The sequence below is a fragment of the Homo sapiens genome, chromosome 8, assembly GCF_000001405.40.
Source record: "Homo sapiens chromosome 8, GRCh38.p14 Primary Assembly".
Classification (NCBI taxonomy): domain Eukaryota; kingdom Metazoa; phylum Chordata; class Mammalia; order Primates; family Hominidae; genus Homo; species Homo sapiens.
The window spans coordinates 76,678,679-76,702,469 of record NC_000008.11 but is presented as its reverse complement, the minus strand read 5'-3'; the positions used below and the strand labels follow the sequence as shown (position 1 = coordinate 76,702,469).

The following is a 23,791-nucleotide window of genomic DNA, read 5'->3' as shown; positions in this document are numbered from 1 at the left end:
AAAGACATCAGTGAAGGTCACTGGCATATGAAGTATAAAGAATAGCTTATTAATACTCTCTTTACTGTAATCAAATCCAATCTTGTCAGGCCAATCAGAGAGAAAGTGATCAGTTTAGAAAACATTAAAAGATCTGCATAGATTGAAAATGAATTCAAAATTCGTTTTGGTATCTGAGATGGGACCCTGAAAATGAATTCAAAATTCGTTTTGGTATCTGACATTCTAATTGCTCACAAATCAAACATCACAAACCCTAGTGTGTAATTTTAATTTTAATCATTGATGAGCTTCAGGTTAATTATCCTTATGGCATGCATACAGCTTTCAAAACCACCTGAAATAATCTGATAATCATAAGTAAGAAAACCTAATAATTTTCTAATTAGTCCATAAACATTAATGTTTATCTTTGCATTTGCCAATTCTGCACAAATAACGTATTCATACTGAAGGCAGCCAAAATGCCTAAAATATAATCTCTTGCTGGCCTGAAGGAAATGAGGGAGTCAGAAAGAGACTAGAAATTTGGAATGAATGCAAGGTGGTGAATAATACTAAATTAATGATGCTAGATTAAAATGTAAAGTTCCAGAACCGAGGGTGATTTTCCCCAATGATAGGGTAACCTGCTAGGCATGATGCACATATCTGATATGTAAAAAAAATTCACTTTAATTAGAAAGAGTGAGGAAAGCTCCTCAACATTTTACAGCTTTGTAAAAAAGTTTCTAAGCTATGTATGCTATTTGAATTTAGTTCTATCTTCACTCCTAAAACAGTTCTCATCCCACAAATACAGTCACTAGCTAGAATTATTACACACATTCTAAATGCAACTCAAATGAATTGCATAAAATGTGCAGTTAACAATTTTGGCCAGATGTGGAATAAACCCTGCAATGTATCATCTCAATGTTTCTCTACATAAAGTAGATCCGATCTTTTTCTTTTACTTAAAAGAGCCAGAAGTCACCTTCAAAATGTAACATTATTGCTATATAAAAAATTATGAAAACCACCTTAAAGAATCCATCATAGGTCAAAGCAATATGGTAGGATATATTTTGGTACAATACTCCCATACAATTTTACAGAAAATTGCCAATCAATTTCTTCGCAATAAACTACACATAAATCAGAAACTAAGTCAAATACCTGTCTTCTATACAATCAAATTTACATTTCATCCTAAAACCAACAATAACAAAACTCTCTAAATTGATATAGCTAATAATATATTATTTGATTTTAAAATTTTTATTTTGTTGCTATTGGCTACAACCATGACAATGTTTTTCAGTATATTCTGATGGAATCACTTTAGTTTGTATAGATAAAAAGTTATTTAGATCCTTATATACAGTGACACTGAATATGATGCTAAGTGATTTCACTGTCGTCAATGTCAGACGAGGTCTTTCTTTTATCAAAGTGACCCATTTAAGAAATTTACGATAAAGTTTTATAAGTCCCAGTAAAAAAGACCACAAAAACAACCATTTAACTTAAACCATAGAATTAATTCCAAAATGACTGCATAACAAGTTAACTCACTATAAAAGTTCCTTCACCATTTAAGGTGATTTTTATTCAGTGTTCACCAACTTCTGTTCCCTACTGCCAGACATTCTGTTTGTAAAATCACCAAAGTCCTCAAGAAATCCCGAAGAGAAAACCTAACATAGTTTTAATGCTAAATTCAGAGCAATACATACCTGCTGGTCTGCTTAGAATATGTGCACATACACATTTTTTGGTATTCTCAGTAATTCACAAGATCAGTGACTTTGATCATGTCAAATCTCTTTTTCAGAACTAATGGACAATATGCAGAAAAGAACTTTTATTACTCATTCTGCTTTGCTTTCGTCTGAAGTCACTGCTGCCTAAACTCTGCTCTGCTAAATGACCAAACCCACCTACAAGGAGCCTGACTAATGAAAGGGGGTGCTTTCTGAACAATAGAAGAATTCCTTTGCATTCAGAAAGCAGAGTTCCCATTAGAACCCAAAATCAGAGAGGCCAGTTTTACCTCTGTTTTTTAATTGAGATTGTCCCAGCCCTCTTCTACGGTCCAGTGAGACAGTGTTTGTGAAATGATTAAAAAGAACGTGATCTGATCAAGAGGAAAGAATAATGGGAAAGGAATGCTAGGTTAGCCACTCTGCTAAGTGCTGGGAAAGAAGACCAGTGGGCTCCTTAGCCTATTGTTTTTATTCTCATCTGCCCTTTAGCCATCTCATAACACTTTGAGTCTTTATTTACTCCATTTTACATGGGTTAAAAGTTGTCCACTTACATGATAATTTGGTAACTAGTTACGAATTTAAAAAAAATAGAAAATAAATAAAAATCCTTGAATTATATCAAGTTTCCAAAAGGTCATCACTGTCTCTGCTGTGGCCTTTTCCCCATTCCAAATCCTCTATCAATATGTCATAGTGAGTTAGGCAAAGACAAAAGAGAGGCGCAGTGTGAAAACGGCACATATATCTAATCCTGACAAAGCAATGAATAGACCTTCACAAGTATAATTATACTTGTTTATTTGTTGCCACGTACAGAGAACTGATGAAAAAAATCCATCAAAGTGGTATTATGCAGACACCAAGAGCTTCTTTTCTTTGGTTGCTAAAGCCACATTGAGGCTTAAATTCCTTATTGTTAAATTCAGAAGAAAGAAAAAAAAAAGAATTTTGGCTGGACTTTTTTTTTTTTTTTTGCATCAGTTGCTGACAAATCTTTTGTGTACAAGGCTGTATTAGTTCACACCACTATCGCTACCTCACTTTTACCCAAGTTGGAATTCATAATTATAAACTACTGTACAGAAGCTTTTAAAAGGGTGTGGTGTGCTAACCAAGAGAAGAGGGTAGGGGAATTGCCTGTTTCTCAGTCTCTCTTTTGATATATCATAACGCAGGTAAATACCTGTGTGGAAGTACCAGTTACGTCAGATACATCTTTGATCTCAGTCTTAAGTTGGTGCTAGTGTTTCTCTTTAATTCACCTTACTCTGCTATTTGCTTATTTTGGTGTATGTGGAGTATTTCATGAAAGATTGTGTAACTTTTTCTCCACTGCAGTATTAAAAACATTAGCAAGAAGGACAGCAAATGCAAGGATGTAAAGGGATAGAAAATATTAAGTGAAAAGGTTTCAAATCCAACTATTAAGGAGTCATTATGTTCCAATAGACACTAAATCAAATAACTTAACAAAAGCACATTTTTAGAGGTGGGGGTTGGGTAGCCAAACAAGCTTTTTTACTTGTAAGATAGAAATATATCAAAGTAAATGCAATCTGCGTAGTTAATGTTTGTGAGCTTTACAATTTAAAACAGAAAAGCTGTAATTTTTCTTTGCTGGCAATCTGGAAACACTCTGGAGTTAATTACAGCTGATTCGGAGTGAACCACACAAACAAAGACCAGTCTATGTCCAGACAATTATACTGCATTAACCAGCTTAGAGCTTCCTGCTGATGTTTCAGGGCTCTTCTGTTACACCCTCCTACCTTCCCAGCACGAGAGAAAATGCTTCTGCAAGAAGGAATTAATGAAGAGAACTGCAAAAGAATGTGTGACGACCTCTCCTGACACGGCAAAAACTTTCCACCCATGTCACGACAAAGGGGAGAAGGTAATTAAGTTTGAATAGAAGGATGTAACCAAATATATTCAGCATTTTAAACAGGCACATTTTTTAAGTAGAGAAAATTTACAAAGACAAGTATGAGTATGTGAGCCAACTAAGTCGTTTTTCTCTGTTTTCCTCTCATTTTTCTCATTAAAATCTGTTAGCTAGTCAAAGAAGATTTGTTTTCTTCTCTGTAAATGGGACCCTGTGATTGATAGTCTTCTTCTCCCTCTCATTCTTTTCTTTCTCTTCCTCTCTTCCCACCCTCATTTCCCTCATTCTCTCTCACATCACTAAATCTGCATAGACTGTATATAACTATTACATAGCATTAAACATATGTGATGAAGAGCTAAGGAGAAAAGGTGCACTTTACCAATGAGTCCAATAGTTCTAAATTTGAATAGTTGTGGGAAATAGGAATTTTACTCAGTTTTCTTCAAAACTTTAATCAAACTCCAGCTACTTTCCTTAGAGAGGAATCAATAATCTCTCCTTAACAAAATTACACTATTATATGACTCATTTTATTTGTTTGCTTCAGGAAAATTTTATAATCAGTGTGCAAGATGGACCCAATAATTTAGCTACCCTCTATAAACAAACTTTGGTACTTGCAACCAATCTAGTTGATTTCTAATTTTCTTATTCATTCTAATTGAAAATGAATAGTTTGCATTGGTGTGAGACAAGGACATGAACTGTAATTATGTTCAGTGCCTCTTTCTGAGTCTTTCTTTGATACTGTTTTGCTAGTATTCCAGCTGACATTAAGGCTTTGTAGTGATTGCTTCATTAAAGGTTAAGGATTTCCTAATCAGCTAAAGTATTACTAGAAAGCTGTTGTTTGCCAATACTGAGAATATACTGACTTTTTTTTCCTGTCTTTATTGAGGAAAAAGGTACTTCCAAATGCCAGTGACCCAGCCATACTTCAGCATTAATCATCTCCTCTTTGGCTCATCTATGCAAAGTAGGATTAGAGTTAAATGACTATATGATCCTTTTAATTTTTCTTCCTTAAAAAAATATTAATCCATAAATCAATCAGGTACTATGATAAAATGCATATAAATATACCCTGAAGTTATGGAAAGGTTGTGTAAATTACACTTACATTTACAGGCATCTCAATAATGGACAGAATTATTTTTCTTTCACAGACCCCCTCCCTCAATTTCTACCATATCTGAAAGTTCAAGTAAATTACACTGCTAAACATGAAGCTTTAACACAGAACACTGTAGTTTTCCTTGGAAAAACATGAACCGCATCGATCATTTTTGGAATTTATAAATCATAGTTACCATGTTTTTCATATGTTATATTGCTAGTCTTTAAGATGTAACTGACTAATCTCTCTGGCATATGCATATCTAAGAGTGCGTAGTTGATAACCTTTTAAGTTATCACATAAGAACATTTAAAAAATTAATCTTAATTGGTTTTATTAAGTTATATATAACTGTAGAATATTTGGCTTCAAAAATAGATATACCGAACTAGTAAAAACCAGTGCACATACAATTTATTTCATATGTAAAGACATATGAAAGACAATGTAAAGACGGTATATTTTAACATGCGTCTATATTTTTTCTCCTTTGTCTATTCATATATGAAATTGATTATTGAACTACTGACAACCAAATATTTCAAAGAAAAAACAATTGTATAATTATTTCTATTTCACAATTGCTACCAATATGATCTCATAACCACTATAACTAAGTATAATAGCGTAGGTACATATTTTTAAAAAATCATTTCTTGCAGGCTAAACCTACCATAATTATCTACATAAAATCAATCACAAGTCAAGTACACCAGCAAACATTCCTATTTCTTGAGCAATGATTTCAATAATTTTATATGATTTCAAATAGTTTCACTCAAGAAAGTTATATGCATAAATTCTTTAAATCACTACCAAGTGCATCTTACTATATAATACTCTTAGACTCTACCAAATACAAGTGTCTTTTTACATTCCATGTAAATATTTTAAATAACTTTATATTAAAAACCACATTAGGACTAGCATAATAGAGAACATAAGTAGAATGACAAGTTTTCTTCTAGATGAAATATTGGCAAACTTATGTTTGATTTCTGAGATTAGTTGTTATTTTATTGCTATTATGAAGAGCCTTTTGTTTGGGGATTTTTATTTGAGTTTTTTTTTTTTTTTTTGGCCTGAAAGTAAATTTGACTGCTGCCCATCAGTGAAGTGAGCAATTCAGTAATTAGCTTTTGTGTTTTAAATATATGAACTTTAATTAGATTTCATTATAAACAACCGTCAACCATAATTATAAGCTCCTTGGTTTACCCACATATTATCCCTTTTCAAACAAACTTGATGTCAGACTAATTAAAATCAAGCAGCCAGCAATTCTGAGTTGAATTTTACATGATCTGCTGGTAACCTGATTACTTTAACTTCAATATCATTACAGGAAAAGTATCTCAGGAAAAATAATTACAAGAATTCCAACAGGAGACAAGCTTAATTGTATTGATTCAAAAGATGCATGTTCAGAGGAACCATGTTGAAGAAATAATGTTATCTCAAATCTACAGTTTCTATTAAAATGAAATTGTCCAGCATGAAATAAGCAATTTAAGATTAGTGTCTACAGAACTAGAGATACTAAACTAACTAAATAATTATCTGGGCCCAATTATCTTATACTTTAAGTAGCAAAATATCAGTGTGGAGAAACTACAAGTCATGAGGTTTGCAGGTTTATTTACTGACTGGTGTATCTATTAGGACCAAGAACAAGTGGAGCTGTCAGGACATAATGAAGGTAAATGATTAGTTAGCACCAAGCTTGAACTCTTCTTCAATGCAATAAGAGTTAATTAAAGTTTACCACCAAACATCAACCAAAGCAGGATGTTGATCAGGTTTCAGCATTAAGTGCAAACAGACAATAGTTGGCAGCAATTAGTGCAGCTATCAAATGACATGCAATGATAATTATACATTTAAAACAGTTAAAGAGCTGGGGGAAAAAACTAATCAGCCTCTTTGACGACAAATACTCAAAGGGCAGGAAACAGGTATCAGATTATTTCACTTTAACACTGTAAATCAATAGAATTAAACAAGAAAAGATTGTATGGGTACATTATCTGAAAGAGAACAGTTAACTGGACCTAAAATGAAATAAATCTGCTAGTATTGGTCTATCAAAGATAAGAACTTCTGCAGCTAAAGAAAATAACTTGCTTTTCAATTAAAGTTTCAGAATGAAGTCTCTGTAAAGAAAGTTTAGCTTCTTGGTTTTGTGTAAATTCAACAATGCAACAAGTATTTCGTCATAATTACTGTTATTTAAATTAAGTGTTAACTTCCATTCTACCATAATGTCAAAAGTACTTTATGCCTGGATGTTATCTTTGTGTACTCCAATATTATCTTTCTGAAAACTTTTCAAATGGATGTTAAGATTGAAATTCTTTTCATGCAGCTAAATTTAAAACAGAGGCCATATATGCGTATTTAGTGGTACATCATGCAGGTCTTCCTTGACACCATTCAAACCTATGACTTCAGTTTTGAAATTGATGAACCTGCATACAACATATCCCTTAAAATAATTTTATAAATGACCTCATTCTTTTCCATAGTTTCTGGCCTGTAGCCTGGAGAATGTCTCCAGAAATGTGCCTATCCTCATGACCCCCACCTCCCCATTTTCCCAACTAATTCTGTTGTGCTAAGGATTTGTACACAGTGTTGGCTAATCCCAATATTTCCCTGGAGCTAAATCTAAGCCATGACCGACTCCCAGCACAAAAATGTCTCTCTCCAAAAGCCCTTTCGCCCCCTTCAGCACTCATACACTCATTGGTCCTGACATTTTCACTTCAGCCATGACAAATGAGCTGATGACTCTGATGTGATTGCACGGGAGGATGGCTTTATCTAAAAATATATCATTAACTCTCATCGCCATCTCCTAATATGGCTCTTCTGGGTTCATGTAATGTGTTGCGAAAATCTGAGGAAAAATTTTTGTGAATATATGCACTGTAAGTAATAAGAGATCAACTTCATCAAAAGAAGAAAAGGGAAGCCTGAGTGGACAGGATGGTGGGGCGGGGGCGGGGGCAGAGGCGGGGGCGGGAGCAGGGGGCGGAGGGTGGGGGGCGGGTGCAGGAGGAGGGAAAAAAAAAAGACTAACATTAACTAAATGATGCTCTGGGGATTTAAGTAACTCTACTCAACCTCTGCCCCAGTGCAAACCAGCCGGCTGACTGTCTCTTAAAGGTCCCTTCCGTTCAACATGGGCATCTGCAGCAGAGCATAATTTGTGAAGTGGCACAAATGAAGCTTCTCAGAAAATATGGCTTACCAATTGGCAGGCCAACCGATTTGCTTGTCTTTATCACAGGGTAGCACCTATTTTATTCTCAAACCCTTCATTTCCTATGTTACTAAATCTCTTTACATTCACTTTAGTCGGGGAAGGGATTATCAAAAACAATTCCACTTTGAGATCATTGTATTCTTCAATTAGAAAGAGGCAATAGTTTCCTTCCAAACTATGATTAAATGTGAAACTTTTAAGCTCTCTCAAAAGGAGAGCCTTAACATTTAGCATAAACATGGCAACCTTTAGGTTATGTTAGAACCCAAGTTCCAGTCACATCGTTCTTGTTATGTACACGATAGAGTTTACAGAGTAGATACTTGTTATAACCTCTTCTCTCAATTCATCTGAGGAGCCACAGCCAATCAGAGTCAACTCTAGCATAACAGACTTCTAGAAAAGAGGTCAGGCTTTGAGGTAAAGTGCTATTCAGTCTTGGACCATGCAAGGAGCTCTTTATTCCTGTTCTTATTGGCATCAGACCGCCTTACTAGAGTAAGAACAAAGCCAAGTGCTCGTGTAAGGTTTATGAATAAATCAGAGGTGAGCCACTTCAAGTGCTGCCCATGATTTCCTTGTTGACAGTGAGCACTTAAACAGACTTCTATGACCAGCAACTTCTGGCAAGCCATAATGATTCCTAATCTGCACCCTCCTTCATTTCAAGAACTAAATGACCCACCCTATTTTTCCTGCAAGCTTTCACCTTTCAGGCAATTGTGGTCCTATCTCTAACAGTTTACCTTTACAATCCCAGAGCAGTCAGCACAGGAATTGTAACAACTAAAACCTTTCTTTGCTCACAAATAAAAATAATCTCCAGCGTAAGCATAACAAATTATTCTCATATTAATATTATAGAATTTTTGGATAGGGAGAAGCTAAGCCAACTAAACTGAAGAGGGCACACACACATACACACACACGCACACATACACACTCAATTTCTTCAGCTGCACTCTGTAGTTATGTGATGTTTCCCAGGAATTTCCATGAGCTTTGGTTTCCGTATTGGTTAAACAAGGGGATTGTGCTATATCCCTTCTGACTGCAACAATCTATGGTTCTAATATAAAAAGCCATTTAGATTTCTCTGTAAGATAGTGTTCCCTGTGGAATTTCCCAAGACAAGTCCAGCTGTTTTTAAGGTGATTTTTTTTTCAGTACCTAGATTTCAAGAGGAAAGGCAGATTCCAGTAGTACAGTAAACTGAAGTTTTCTATTTATGTTTTTAATTATCATTCATTTATCCATTCACTCATTCAACAGGTATTTATTAAGCACCAAAGATTTGCCAATAGTATGTCCATCACTGTGGATATAGTGTTTAAACAGAAGTGGGTGCTACCCTCATGGAGGCTGCAGTTTTATTTGAGGAGACACTTAAACAAGCATCATGAAAAATGTTAAGATGCTAATTGCTTTCTCTACATGAATTATATCCTTATATTGATTAATATTAAAAAATGCTTTGTCTTAAATAAATGTGCTTCAAATGAAATGTCAAGTCCAGGGCCTTTTATAAATGACCAGAACATAGGCCATGCACACACTTTTATTTTTAAGAAGTACTTTAACAAGTGTTATGAACCAAACATATATAAATATTAAACAATAATCAAACACAAAATTGGAAAATTATAATCCAAATGCACTTAGATTTCCCATAAAATTATAAACAATAATTTTAAATGTGTATCTTACATGTATCGCAATGAAAAATGTATTAAAAATAAACAGATTAAAAAAACAGAACTTTCATTTCCAGGTGGTTCAAAAAATTGTATTTATATACATTAACTCATCATGAATTTACCATCTTTGAACTTGGGTAGTCCTCCAGAATAATGCATTATTATAGAACAATAAAGGACTGTGATTCCCTAAGAGATAAACCAGGTGGAGACCCATAAGTTGGCTGTAAAATAACCTAAGAAAATTTAAGGTTTCATAATGTTATTGAATTATTAATAACTGGATCTCTTCTCTAGGTTGGTATAAATTTTGGTCAACAGGATACCACGTAACAGTATCCATTCTCCTTTCTTGGCATATGAAAATGTCACTAATATCAAGTATATAATATCATTAATAGCAAGTACATAATCCAGTTTTGGAAAATCCTCTAATTCAGCGACTTTCAAACAGAGGCTTTCAACTTCAAGACTGAAATAAGCATTATGGTCATTTCTATTATTGTATTTAATGGAGTGTCTGGAATCTTGAGTTCATGTGGATAGACTAAGGTCTGAATTATTGAAAAACTGTTTCTGTCCTAATTTGCTTCTTAAAAAAAAATGAAGATTCAGAAATGCATTAAATACCCAGAAGCCCCTTAGGACCAAACCAGCTTGTAGTGATGGAGTGGCAGATAAAGATGTGGAGGAGCATCCACCTGTCAACCTAGATGCCATTTAGGTACCTGTCAGTAAGAAAATATCAAAAGAAGGATACTACTCCTTTCCCCCACCTCTTAGACATATCCATTGCCAAATTCATATCTTTTTCTTGTAGGAGAGAGGGGAAACTCTACTCAAAATATCTGTGTAGACTTGCTTTACCAAATGCTCTTTAGTTGATCATGACTTTGAAACAACCATTGGGAAAAAACAAAAAAGGAACATACGGATCAGTTATCAGGTCCTGCCCACAATCACTTATTTTAATGTTCACAACACTTTATCTTATGTAATCTCTGCAGCAACCCTGATATACAGATGAGAAAACTGAGGCTCAGGAAGATTAAGTAACTTGGACAAGGGCACCCATAACAGAAATGTAATCCAGGTATCTTATAGGTTGAATAAGATTCCTATTAAGCATTGGGTTGCCAACAAATGTAGTAGGTGTTAAAATACCTAAAATGTAAGTTTAAATAATGTCGTTTAAATAATATCATTTAAAAAGAAAAAAGAAACCAAAGTACGCAGAATCAAAAAATGTCTGGTCTTAACTAGGTGTTATTCTTTCTGTACATTATGCTGCCTCCAAAACATCACAGCCTTGACTTCATATCCTTTCCTTACACGGAATTGAAGTGTTGTTCTTGTTCACACCATGTTTATGATTATGATAAATACACTTTAAGTCACTGAAATCATCAGTATTTTTATGAATCATAGGCTCTTCTTGTCCATTTGGAGCACCTAATCTACCTCCTACTTAACACAAAAATATGTTTAACAGTCACAATAACAAGAGGCCATCCAGATTCTACTTGTCTCCTGTCGATAACAGAGAGCTCACTCTCTCAGAGAAGACAGGTTATCATGCACATTTTTCCTTCCAACTCTTCACCATCTCCACAACCTTCATATTCATTCATTCAACAAGCCTTTTTCAAATAGCCAATACAGTTGAGTGACCACTGGTCCTAGAGTTAGAATATGTGAATTCTTGTCTCAACATTTTCCTGCCTTGCTGGGTAATCAAAGATAACTCTCTTTAATTCAATAGCCCATATTTTAAAATGAGTTAATTGAACTGAATGATCGTAAGGCCACTTCCCAGGCTCTGGCATTTTGGTAATTTCTAGTTGCCTTACCATCCTAGTTGCTCTTTTCTGTTGAGATTATATTGGCCAATTCTTAGAAGATGAAAGAAGTTTAGCCTATGAAGGGAAAACTTCACAAGCTACCACTAGGAATGCATCTAAAGAGGAAAGAGAGGCCTAACATGGAAAGAGGGTAGACGTGTGTGTATGTGTGTGTGTGTGTCTGTCTGTATATACTCTACTGAATAGGAATGTAGGAGTGTTAGGGATGATGAAACACAGTTGTATCCACTAAACCAAAAGAGATGATTAATTCTAATTTTCAATTAATGGGCTCAGGAAATCTTAAGTATTAATTGCATTATTCCAAAATTTATGGTATTTTAAAAACTACTAAGCACTATATTTTTGAAAATCCACATTAGCAAAGTATTTCAGGTTTAATGAAAATACCATGGGAAATGTAAAAATGATTGGTCTTTTTCAACCTATTCTTCCAAGCAGACAAACTTTAAGATTCCTCAAAAACTTCCCTCTTAAGAAGTTATGTTTCATTTTGTTTTTAACAATATAACCAGGTGGCATACACCAGCTCATATGTTTTTGTATTTTAACATTGTTAGAACTATGGATTTCCTTTCTTCTTTACAGTGAAGGAAAAGAATTTTATGGGCAGTTATAAAATGCATATTTTAACCTGAAAGTCAATTTTCCCTGGTTAAAATGATTTAGACCTGAGTAAATATTTGCAGAGTGATTTCTTTTTTATAGCTAGAACACAATGAAACCTATAAATGTTGTCTTTAGAGGTATGTCCTACAGTGCATACCATTCAGTAATTATCATCTGAGCACTGTTGTGTCCTCAAGTCAGACAAACATTAGAAATGATCTATTATCTGAATGATGATGCTGGTGTGTGAACCGCTAACCTGAGTGACCAAAACACGTCCTCACAACTTTTCTTGGACCATCAGGACATTATGATGTATTAACTAAGTCAGTCTGCCCAAATTCTTAAATCGTATTTGTTTATTTTATCCAGTCTCTAGAATGTTAAAGTGGTTAATTATATTAGAGATAAGCTGCTTACTAAATATGACTTTAGTGCCAAAGCCATTTTTAAGTCCAGTGCATAAACTCAAATATGCCTTAAAGTGGCAAATATTTGATTCTATTCACAAACCTTTAAAAGAAAGGGAGACTAGAGAGCAGCCATTCTTGGACTGAGGATTGTATGTCAAATATGAAACCATATCAAACTTTCAAGGCAACTTGTGAACCTCTGAAACTAGGGAATTAACAGAACATCAAGTCCAGCAAGATCACAAGGGGCACAATCCTTATGCAAGAATATAATGCCATCGAGCCCTCATTAAAAGCCCATTTCGTCTTTAGCCATCAAAGACTGTGAGTGCACTAAGATCTTGGTTATATCATCAGGGATAACTAAAACAAGTGCCAAGAGAAATTGTGCACTTTTAGTTCTCACATGTGTCCATCTGTTCACATATAAACACATATTCTGCTTTCTGTCTGATTTCTAAAATCTTGATATCAGAATACCCTGGGCTTTTGCCCATTTCCTAAGAATGCAGACATCACATAAGCTACTATTAACCCATGTGTGATCCACTTCCATGGTGGCTGGAAAACTGCCAGTTACAACACATGGTGCCTGGTTAACAATGTCTTAAAATATAAATGAATTTATTTTTTAAATTAACACATTTTCTTATGGAAATACCTTAATAAGCCCTTCTGCATGTAAAAGAATAGCCTCCATGTGGATTTTTTTGTTCTTTTAAGACTTTTTTCAAGCATATCATAAAGTTAACCATAAAAGTTTCTGAAACAATCCAGAATTTCTTGACAAATTTTAAAAAGGACTCCAGTAAAAAATTTGGGGGACTATATAACATAGATCAAACAGTTTTCCTTTACAATATGCTGTACTCAAGAGTCAACCCTTACACATTAATTTATGTAAAAATACTTGTGATTTCCCAAGTTTCCATCTAACCATCTTAATAGTACCTCAACAACAAAACTGCTAAAGTGATGAGGCAAATGGAAGTTCTAAAATCTAGCAACAAACAAGTTGGGTTAATATCTGATGAGATCTTCTAACCTTGTTCTGAGACAGCCATCGGTGGATCATTTGTGGTGACCTCAAACCAGAAAGAGCTTGTTTAAAATGTATACATATAAATAATTATCTGCACTGCATTTGATTTACATAGGTACAAAAGAACCAATTCCGATCTTTGAAAGAGTCTTCACACTTATGGTATTTTAACTGTCCTAATGCTGGCTGAAGAAACATCATTAAGAGTGTTGATCACATTGTCAACTGATAACCAGTTACATCCCTAACTAGTGACAGGGGACCCTACTACAAATGTCTCCAAGAGTGAACTTATAATACCTAGACACTTTTAAAAAGACTTATCTCTAAATAAAATACACAATACACCTACAAAGCAACATGAAGACTGCATTCAGAACTTTATGAATTAAATCTTAAGAAAATACATCAGTACCCTCTTCTCTCCCTTCCCAGCCACAAAAGCTGATAGACCACTTAAAACACTTAACATTGCCAAAAGTCAGATTACACAACTCTTTCCCAAGTGAAGTGTTTCACCAATCGAGATAGTTATTTATAGCCTATGGGGAAAAAAACAGGCACCTTATATTCCATCATTAACTGAATTAAATATCCACACCATACTATTGGCTCTTCTAAAATAATTGTTTTTGCCAGCAAAGTGCTGGGAATTCCTGATACCCAATAGTCAATATTTGGCTAGCCTGGCATGTTTCTGAAACTCTTCTATATACAAACCTCTGTTGATCATCTTCTAGCTGCACTATTGTCATACACATTACGTCCCAATGATGATGAAAACACAGCATCTTATAAAGTTGCTGAAATCTGAGCCCCTGCTTGTTTTCTCAAGTCTTGGACAAACATAACTTTAGAGAGAGCGGAGCATAGACATAAAGAAAGAGAAGCCTGCATTTTCATCTTCCTTTCATCTTAGTCATTCAGTCAGCCATTCAGGACCCTATTCAACAGAGCTTTTCATTATGCAAAAAAATGCTAATCCTTTTCCGATGCTTTCACACTTGTATAAACCCCCATTCCTTCAACTGAAAAGCAATTATATCAGTTTACCTTTCTGTCAAAAACAGGATTAATATTCCAATAACAGAATCTCTTTTCTTTTCCTATCTTTTTGCTTTAGGAAACCAGAGATTATTAGTAGAGGCATTCTTAGAACAAGAATCCATTATTTTAAATATGATTATGTTAACCAATGGGTGGAAAAGGGAGAATAAGAAGAAGAAAAAGTCCTTCAGTTACTGCAGAAACTCTTTTCTGTGACAGAAGTGACCTTCCTTTTACAGATGCCCAAAAAGAATGAGACTCACTCTGGTCTATTAATCAGAAACAAATTATGAAAGAATGTAGCTGGACTGGTTGACACTATCCCGTCTTGGGAGACTCAGTAACAGCCTAGTAACAATGTCCTCTTCATGGGTAATGAACAGCCATGACAAATGGGGCAGAGAAACTATTTATTTGCATATGCAAATTCTCACACAAGGGAAACATGTACAAACAAGTGTCATTGTAAGGTGGATTAGGCAAACAACGCTTTCTTTTTAGGACATTCTGCAGCCCAGAACATTAGTCAGCACAATTAAACCAGTCTCCATGGAGACTAATGAAATTTCACCACGGTATGAGTTAAATTAGATAGCTAGTTATGTGTTTCCACAATCCAACTTGAAATCCATTATTGTTTCAGAACAATACTGCAATTGTGCCTAGCTGATCTTTGCCAGCTCAACAAGCTCCTAAGTTGACAATTTGCATATGTTAATATAATTAAGCACTAATTACATGAAACTTGTACATATTCACATGCACTTTCCCTGGGCGCTTCTCAGTTTGAACCTTGGCCAAGTCTTTAACCCTTAGAGTGGTCTTAGAAGGGGGGGAAACCCTCTCCCTGTGGGTACAGCCCTTAGGCAGTCACAGAAAGGCTCCTCATTTATAAACACAAAGCTTAACCTGGCTTCTCATATTTCTAGCAACAATGACAGAACATATTTTGTGAGAGTGCTAGAGACCAGGGATAAGGAAAATGAAGAGAGGGAGATGGATTAGTCTTTAAAGACTCATAACGAGTATCTTCTCAAAGGAAGGCAGGAACATTCATTTCAAGAAAATGTTAAGAAAGAATTTGTTCTCATTGACATTGTCGAACCTTGGGAGATGAACATGGTTTGACAACAGCAAAAATAGCAAGTAGGAAAGGGAAAAGGAGTCAGCAGCACCTAATGAGCTTTACATAAATATATGCAGAGTCAATTAAGCAATATTAATTACTATGACAGCAGTTAATTGAATATAATTAGATATTTTAAGCCACTGAATAAAGCATAGTTAAGATTAATTTTATTGAGATTAATTGTAAATAAGGATAGATTAACGCTGTGTTTTGACAGGCATAAAAAGTAGTTCTGCAAATTAAGCAGAAGCGTGGCCACCAGTCCAAAAATCATATATTATTTTAATGTCACACCTCAGAATCATCTCCTCAATAAACATGACTTTTCAAACCCAAATAGACAGGAATCTTGAAGAAAAACAAACAGCTTGCAGAGATTAAAGAGCCTTTTGTCCTTTTTCATGTGCATTTCTTTTAACAGACTAAATTAAGCGAGTCTGGTGTACGTTTTTTAGGAAGGAACATTTCACACTGAATGGAAAAAATGTTCTATCACATATGAAATTCGTGCAGCTGTGCGGAACTTGGTCCAGAGGGTTTAAGACCATAAAACACCACCAAATGATAGACAGTAGGCCTTCCCAAGATTATGTGATAAAGTCACAATCTTTTATTTTGACCTCTCTCCAAATTTCTGCTCTGTATTCTTTCCAGTCAAGTCACATATTTTGTTTCATAATTTTCTTTCTCTAAGAGGATAAAAAGAAACGTTGCACCTACTAAGTGCTAGAAACAAAATGTAAAAGGAATTGAAGAAGGCCTCATTTAACATAGATCAGCTAAGTCATTCAGCCACAAAATGCAATGATAGCTATAACAACAATGTATGCAAATGACACCTCTTGATTATTACTCTCCTAAACAATGGTTGCTGAAAATATTTCTTAGGAAAATATTGCTAATTGAAAACTCCTCTGCCCCAATACTTTCACACCAAGCTAATTCATGCATACTCTTTAAGAAAATTAACACAGTCCTCAAGAAAGCTGAACAAATCACTAATAAGAAAGAAGCTTCAATTGATTTTGAAATAAATCAATAGGTGATTAACATAATATTTTTAAAGCAGCAGAATGTACATATATATTACATAAACGTATATATTATATTTTCAATATCTTTTAGTTCTTAATCGAACACGGGCTTTACACTATTGAGCCTGGGTCTACACTGCCTCACAACTTCTTTAGGATGTCTTTAGTCTTTATAACGAAAATCCTAAAACGGTCTATGAAACAAGACTACGACAAGCCATTCTGCAGTGAAAGATTTTAAATCATCCAGCCTCTTCTAATAGACTTGAGACTTATTGAGGTAGAAACCATAAAAAATGAAGGAGGGAAATTTAATCCCTGAAATATTGATTTGCACATTAATATCATATAGGCAGAGGGCAATTTGGCTTCGTGGAAATGACACATTGTCGACCCTTGGTGAAGTCAGAGCCAATCTAACTGCTGAACATGTCTGAATCTCAAGAGTTATTAAGGGCTTCCCTTCTTGCCTTTATGACTTTTCTTCAGCCTACCAATGCAATCTTAAATGTATTATCTTTAAGAAATAATTGTAAAACCTCAGGGGTTTTCCAGTTAATGGAGGGGAGGCCAAACCACATCAGATTCTGAAATGCAACATTAAACCCTTGCAATCAACAAAACCACCTCAATTCTCATCCATCCAGTGCAGGATCTAATATTGTTATTAGAGATAATCAAATTTCATTGTGTAAATTTAGGCTCATGGTCAGAATGGAAGCAGTAAATTCTGCAATATTAAACAGTGATTTTCTCAGCCTCCTTTATGTTTTCCTTTGCTCATGAAGAATCTTTTAAAATAATCCAACTAGCTCAAAATTAATGAACAGATTTGGGCTCATCTGCTAAAAACTGCAAAAGATTACAAAAGCACTGAACATGTTTGCCTCATTTTTAACTTTAAGTGGCAACTTTCACTTCATAGAACCAGAGTCCACTATCCCTGTCTAACCCCACAGTTGGTGCTATTGCTTTGACTTACACAGCTGGTTTACCTGACCTTTCTTTGTTCCTTGGGTACATTTCACTTTTCAGATTTATGATATTTCCCCCATATTTCATTGACCCTATCTTCATTGCCATAAACATGAAAACACCTAAATATGAGTTTACTTTTTTAAAAATCCAAAATCAACCAGCAACTGAATAAAAACACAGTGGTGCTCTCCCCAGTTTATGCCATAAATATTAAAACCATTCAAAAAAAGAACTGTATAAACCTTATGATCCCCACACTGAAGCCAGGTGCAAGAGGTTAAAACAGCTGGCTAGCCATCTTTTATTTTTGTGTGCCTTCCTGCTGACTGAAACCACAAACCTTGAAAACTATCAAATATTCCCTTAAGGATTTTTTTTTTTAAGATGAGGAAGGAAAAAAGAAAACCTTCATTCTCTTTAATATGCTCTTCAGTGGAAAAGGAAAACTCCAAAACACAGTCAGTCACAGAGGTAGTGAAATAATTCCGAATATCTCCTTTCTGTTTTATTTAAACCACCCTTTTCAGCAATTTCTATACACAATTGTTTTTAGTCTTCAGTTAGTAAAGAAACAGAAAAAAAAAAACCAAAACAGAAAGAAAGTCTGAGCTTGCTCTGTCAGTTTTGCCAGTAAATACAAAGTAAAACAAGTGTTGATGGCACCGAGAGTGTTACATACCCGGGCTGTGTTTTTGCATTGCTCTCAATGGAAGCGATCGATGCCCGTGTCACTGTCGCGTCCCAATCGCAGCCAAGTCTCAGCCTTAATCTAAGCAACACCCGAAAAGGCAGCGGCAGCCGCAGCCTCTCTCTCACTCTTCCATCCATCCACCCAACTAAAAATATAATACTACATATGAGCTTTAACCACTCCACGTTTATAGGGATCAAGCCACTGAAAATCCAGGAGAACACAATAAAAAAAAAAAAACCCTCCTCTGTCTCTTGTCTCTTCTCTCCCTCTCTCTCTCTCTCTCTCCCTCTCTCCCCCCCTCTCTCTCTTCCTCTCTCCTCTCTGTCTCTCTTTTTGCCATCTACATGATCCTTGATTAAACATGGAACAGAGTTAATAAAAAGGGTGGGGGGGAGACTCAAGGAGAGGAAATGCAACTGTCAGAAATCAGGACGGCCAGATTTCCTGGTGAACCTGCCTCTGTCTGAGTCAGTGTCAATCCACCATCTTCTGCCAGTGAACTTGTCTTTGGGTTTTTGTTTGGTGTGTGTGTGGGGGGGGATGTTGTTGTGTGTGTGTGTATGTGTGTGTGTGCTTTTTTTGGAAGGGGGGAGGGGAAAGACAAAGTGGGGGCCGGAGGTGGGGGGAAGAGTAGGGAGAATGTGTGTCTGTGAGTGTGTGTTGAGTGTGAGTGTGTCTCTGTGTGTGTAGGGGTCGAGGTGGGGGGGGTCCGTGTTTGCGATCTGAACCTTTGGTACCTACAAGGAGGGTGTCTCACCGAACGGTAGCTAAAACCTCACCAGAACCGCGCGGAAGTGAGAAGTCGCGGCCAAAGGCGCCCGCAGAAGCCTCCTCTCTGGGCCGGACCCCAGCCCGAGCGGCCGAAAGGAGCCCCCCGCCCGGATCACAGGTAACAAAAGAAATAGAAACCAGTGCACCGTCTTCTAGGGGAAGGGGATTAGAATAGGGAACCTTCTGTAACTTGGACATCGGCAGAGAAACTTTATACAATTCCATGAGAGATTTTATTATTTTTTTCTGATAGAAAAGAGGAGCGAGAAGGGGGTTGGGGGTGGATAGAAGTAGAAGGAAGGAGAGACCCGGCGCATTCCAGTCCCTTTTCCCTTAGCTGCTCCCAGCCAGAAGGCGCACTTGATGCTTGGAGAAACGAAGGAGGTGAAGTTCATTTGTAGGCATGGAACCCTTTTAGGGGGGCCGAAGAATGAATCGGTTCTCACAGCCGAACACAGCCACTCAATACACACACACACACGCACACGCACACGCACACACCCCTTGCCCTTTGCTAAAAAGGAAAAGATTCTTGACCCCAAGCCGCGGGCGTCTATCCGCTGGTCTAACGCACACCCGGCGGCGTTCCGTTCGGAGCAAGCAGCCGCCGCCTCGCGGGTCCCTGGCCCAGAGGCCGGGCGATCCCGCCTCCTAACGGACCTGCCTTTCCTCCGCGGCGCCCGCGCCCGCGCCGCCGAGAGCAGCCCTCGGTAGTGCCTGCCGCGCCCGCTCCGGTGGGCGGGTGTCTACCTGCAGCCCCAGCCCCAGCGTTCACCCCAGCCTCTTGGAATCCCCTCCCCAGAGCTCACGAACCCCCGGGCCTCCGCCAGCCCCGCACACTAAGCGACCTTCGGGGAACTTGAGAAGGGGAAGAGGGGCGGGTGGTAAAAGGAGGAAGAAAAACGAGGCTGAATAAGGTGGGGTGGGGGGTGGAGGGTAAAGCAGGGAAAGAGCAGGGAGAGAGGGGCTCCCAGCCCCACCGACCAACGTCCAAACTTTCAGAGGATGAGTGCGGAGGACCAGTCATCCCGATCGGGGTGCAGGGGCGCGGGGCGAGCGGAGACCCCTGGCAGTGCCCGCGCCGTTGCGGAGCTGACAGCTTCCCCCAGCCACTAGAATGCCCGGGGCTCGCGGGGAAGGCAAAACCCGAAAAGACAGGGAAAAGGAGAGAAAACTGCCCAAGCAAACGTAGATGATCCTCCGCCACTTAATCCAAAAGTTAAATCCGGAAAAACGCAGCCCCCCTAAAGAAAGTGGAAAATCAGGTCCCTCAGTGCCCCCTCCCTCCCTCAGCGGAGCAAAACCTTGAGCCAAAAAAAAGGGGAAAGAGATAGAAAAGGGGGGCAGAGCGGAAGAGATGGTCGGGATGAGGGGATGTGTGCGACAGCGAGCAGGAGCGAGCGAGGTAGGGGTAGAGAGGAAGAGAGGCGGAGAGGGAGAGAGAGGGAGCGAAATATCAAAGATTGTGCAAGATCAGGCTGGAAAGATAATCGATACTCGACCTAAATTTAACAGAAACTACTCAATAAAAGTTAAAGAAAAAACTTACTTTCCATTTCCCCTGCAGTTCCTACTCGATCTTCGCCTCTTTTTTGTTTTGCTTTTATTTTACTTACAGCTGATCACATCCAAGTAAAACGAGAGGGTTCATTAAAAAAACAAAAAAAATAAAAAATAATCCTCGAACTTTATTGGGTGAAAATAAAAACGCTGGAGCAGAAAGTGGGGGGCATGGAGCGGTCCTCGGGGGTCCGGGAGGAGTTAAAGCATGTGCCGACCGCGGTCTCGCTGTTTGGTTGTGAAGGGGTTGGGAAAAGGAGGAAAGGAAATGAAAATCCGATATGTCTTTATTCTGCTAATTATTATCGTTTTAGCCCTGTTTAAAAAAATGGCTGATTAAGTTGAGTGCGCATGTCTTTGTGTGTCTATTCCCGATATGCACTCTGGGAATGAGAGAGGAGAGCGAGGGAGAGGGAGAGGGAGAGGGGGGAGAGAGAGGTGTAATTAGTGAGGTGATCAACATTCCCCAGACTGCAAATGACGCGCAGCCCGGACTCAGAGCAGCTCCGGAGCCTCACGGCTTCCAAAGCTCCCAGCGCTGCGGCTGGAGCCCCGGATGCGGCGACCGCGGAGAGGACAGGGGATGGGGACCTCCGGGTCTCGCACCCTACGCGCCCCTGCGCGCGACTCCCAAACTTCATTAGACACACACGCGCTCTTACACACAAACACAGACACACACAGAGCAAGAAGGGGAAAGAAATAAAACATAGATACCGCCAAAGCATGGCCCTTTAACCATTCGAGATTTTTTTTTTATTTTAATGAGGCAAAGTAATTATTATCGGACCAGAGATTTGTTTACTAGGGAGCTTTAAGCAGAAATATGAGTTAGGGTAATGAAGAGCTTTTCTCTGCCTAGTTTATTCTGCTGTGCACATGAATGCACTTTAATGGCGAAATGCGGGGGCCTGAGCAAATATGCAGATATATGTAAATAAAGGGTGCCTGGCTGTGTGCAAACACCGCTCAGCCCAGCCTATTTCAAAGGAGGAATTGCACTCTGGATCCTTAGGCACTCTATTTAAACACGTATCCTTCACTTGTATACGCAGGAGAGAAAACCCAGGGTATGGGAGATGGAAGCGGTTAGTCAAAGAAAACTTCCAAATGAGAATAAGTGACGGTTGCAAGAATGATGGGGGGGTGGGGTACAGTTCTAGCCTTTATGTAATATTCTTGAATATTTTATCAGAATTGCATAAGTTCAATGTAATAACTTTAAGAAGACTTAGAAAAGAAAAACCTTTCATCTTTTGAGTCTGTTGAGTTATCTTTCTTGAAGCACATTATGATGAATTTTAAAACCCCACTACAGATCTCATTAGAATGAAATATACTTGGTATTTTCTGGTGCAAAATTTAAGGTGGCTGATTCTCATTTGAAAATCTAATTATCTCTTTCCAATATTACAGATGTGAATATGAGTGACACTTTCATTAAAAGATAATTAACTAAAACTAGGAATAGACATACTTTTAAATACCCCCTACTGAATTTGGAATATATATATGGAAAAAAAAAAAAAATATATATATATATATATATATATATATATATATATATATATATGCATTGCTACTCAGCATCTTGATGCACTTCGCACTACTATACTACAGGTCACAGGTAGACACCATCTATGTAATATTTCAAAAATAGGAATTCTAAAGAGAAAGTAAGAATAACAAATCAAATGAACTAAAAACAGGAAATACTTGCAATGTCCAGTTTCCTGGACAGGTGATGTGTCAGCTGCCTTTGAGTTGACAGGCCTTTGAAGTTCTGGATCGCCAGGATCTGCTTCAAAACCTTGTCTTAGGCCTTAAGCACCAAATCTACCAAATACCAACAGAAAGATTTATCGCACAAGTATTTGGAACAACAGAGACTGCAAAAATGCATCTTTCCAGGCCAAAAACCTTGCATTATCAGGGAACGTTTGGAAAATCCTAGGACTGATGCAAATGGATTAAAAACCAAACAAAACACCTGGGAGGATAAAAGCACAGTCCTCAAAAAAGCAGACCTAGGCCCAGATCAGGAAAGCTGGTTGCCTTCAGCAGCTGGCTAAAGTTACAATGAAAGTCCAGAGGCATGGAGTGGAGAAAAAAACCCCTAGATATGGTCTTTATTAAGAGAAAAAAGCAAATCACCACCTTAGGGATCCAGAGTCAGGGCAGGTACTAGTGTTTTAGAAACCAAGGCTACTAAATGTTAACAGAAAGAAAATCATCTGTCTCTCCAAAGACTTTATTCGATTTTAAACTTCTTTGGGAAGAAATTTGTTGAAAGTGGAAAGCTTTCTAACATTTTAAAGTTACTTTGTTTACAGCCCCACCTTTACACAGCAATTGTATCACCAATTTGCTAGCAGTATCTGATTGCACCTCAGTGGGGCTTATCCATATGCCTTAAGAAACATACGTGCACACAGGGGTAACATTTAAATTCTCTGCAACTTGTAAGTGAAAAAGGTGTTTATGTAGCGTTACTGTTTACTGAAAAACACCCCAGAGAGCAAAATTTCTGGCTTTAAAAAAAGTACTTGAGGTGTGTGCATGGGGAAGGGGAGTGGGAGATTTTAAAAAGACTGAGGGGAAATGAAGGCAGGGAAACTTTCAGGTTCAAATCAGAAAAGATCAAGCCCTTTGCGGGAGAGGGCTCCATGTACAAGCTCACTGATGGAAAAACCATTTCCTGCGACTTCAGACGGGTAAATGCATATGATGAAGGAAACACCTGAGAACAATAAGTCTGTTTCAGGCTCAGGTGAAGAAAGAGGTCTATTTCTGGCATGGAAGAATAGGGAAATGATGATCATTTCGTTTTCAAGTTCTTTATTTCTTTTGCCTTTTCCTCCCTGAAACATCAATAACATTAATGTCATTAATGTCAAAACAGCAAACGTCAAATCAAGAAAACCATTAAAA

At 37.4% G+C, this 23,791-nt stretch overlaps 1 protein-coding gene and 1 long non-coding RNA gene across 3 annotated transcripts in view, besides 1 other annotated feature; one reads left to right on the top strand and one right to left on the bottom strand.

Moving 5' to 3' along the window:
• Positions 1-21,223, bottom strand: part of ZFHX4 (zinc finger homeobox 4) — a 186,035-nt gene extending 164,812 nt beyond the window's left edge. For both annotated transcript variants that reach the window (NM_024721.5, NM_001410934.1), the window contains exon 1: positions 20,850-21,223. The gene's annotated coding sequence lies outside the window, so the exon portion shown is untranslated. The remainder of the gene's footprint in view (positions 1-20,849) is intronic.
• Positions 14,060-16,698: an enhancer, noted in NCBI's record as "VISTA enhancer hs1318". NCBI's record gives its function as "enhancer in: midbrain (mesencephalon)[4/6] | forebrain[4/6]" and the evidence as "EXISTENCE:transgenic organism evidence [ECO:0001131][PMID:17130149]".
• ZFHX4-AS1 (ZFHX4 antisense RNA 1) overlaps positions 19,195-23,791 on the top strand; it is a 72,397-nt gene continuing 67,800 nt past the window's right edge. Inside the window, exon 1 of the long non-coding RNA NR_024360.1 lies at positions 19,195-19,418. This is a non-coding gene — a long non-coding RNA (ZFHX4 antisense RNA 1). The remainder of the gene's footprint in view (positions 19,419-23,791) is intronic.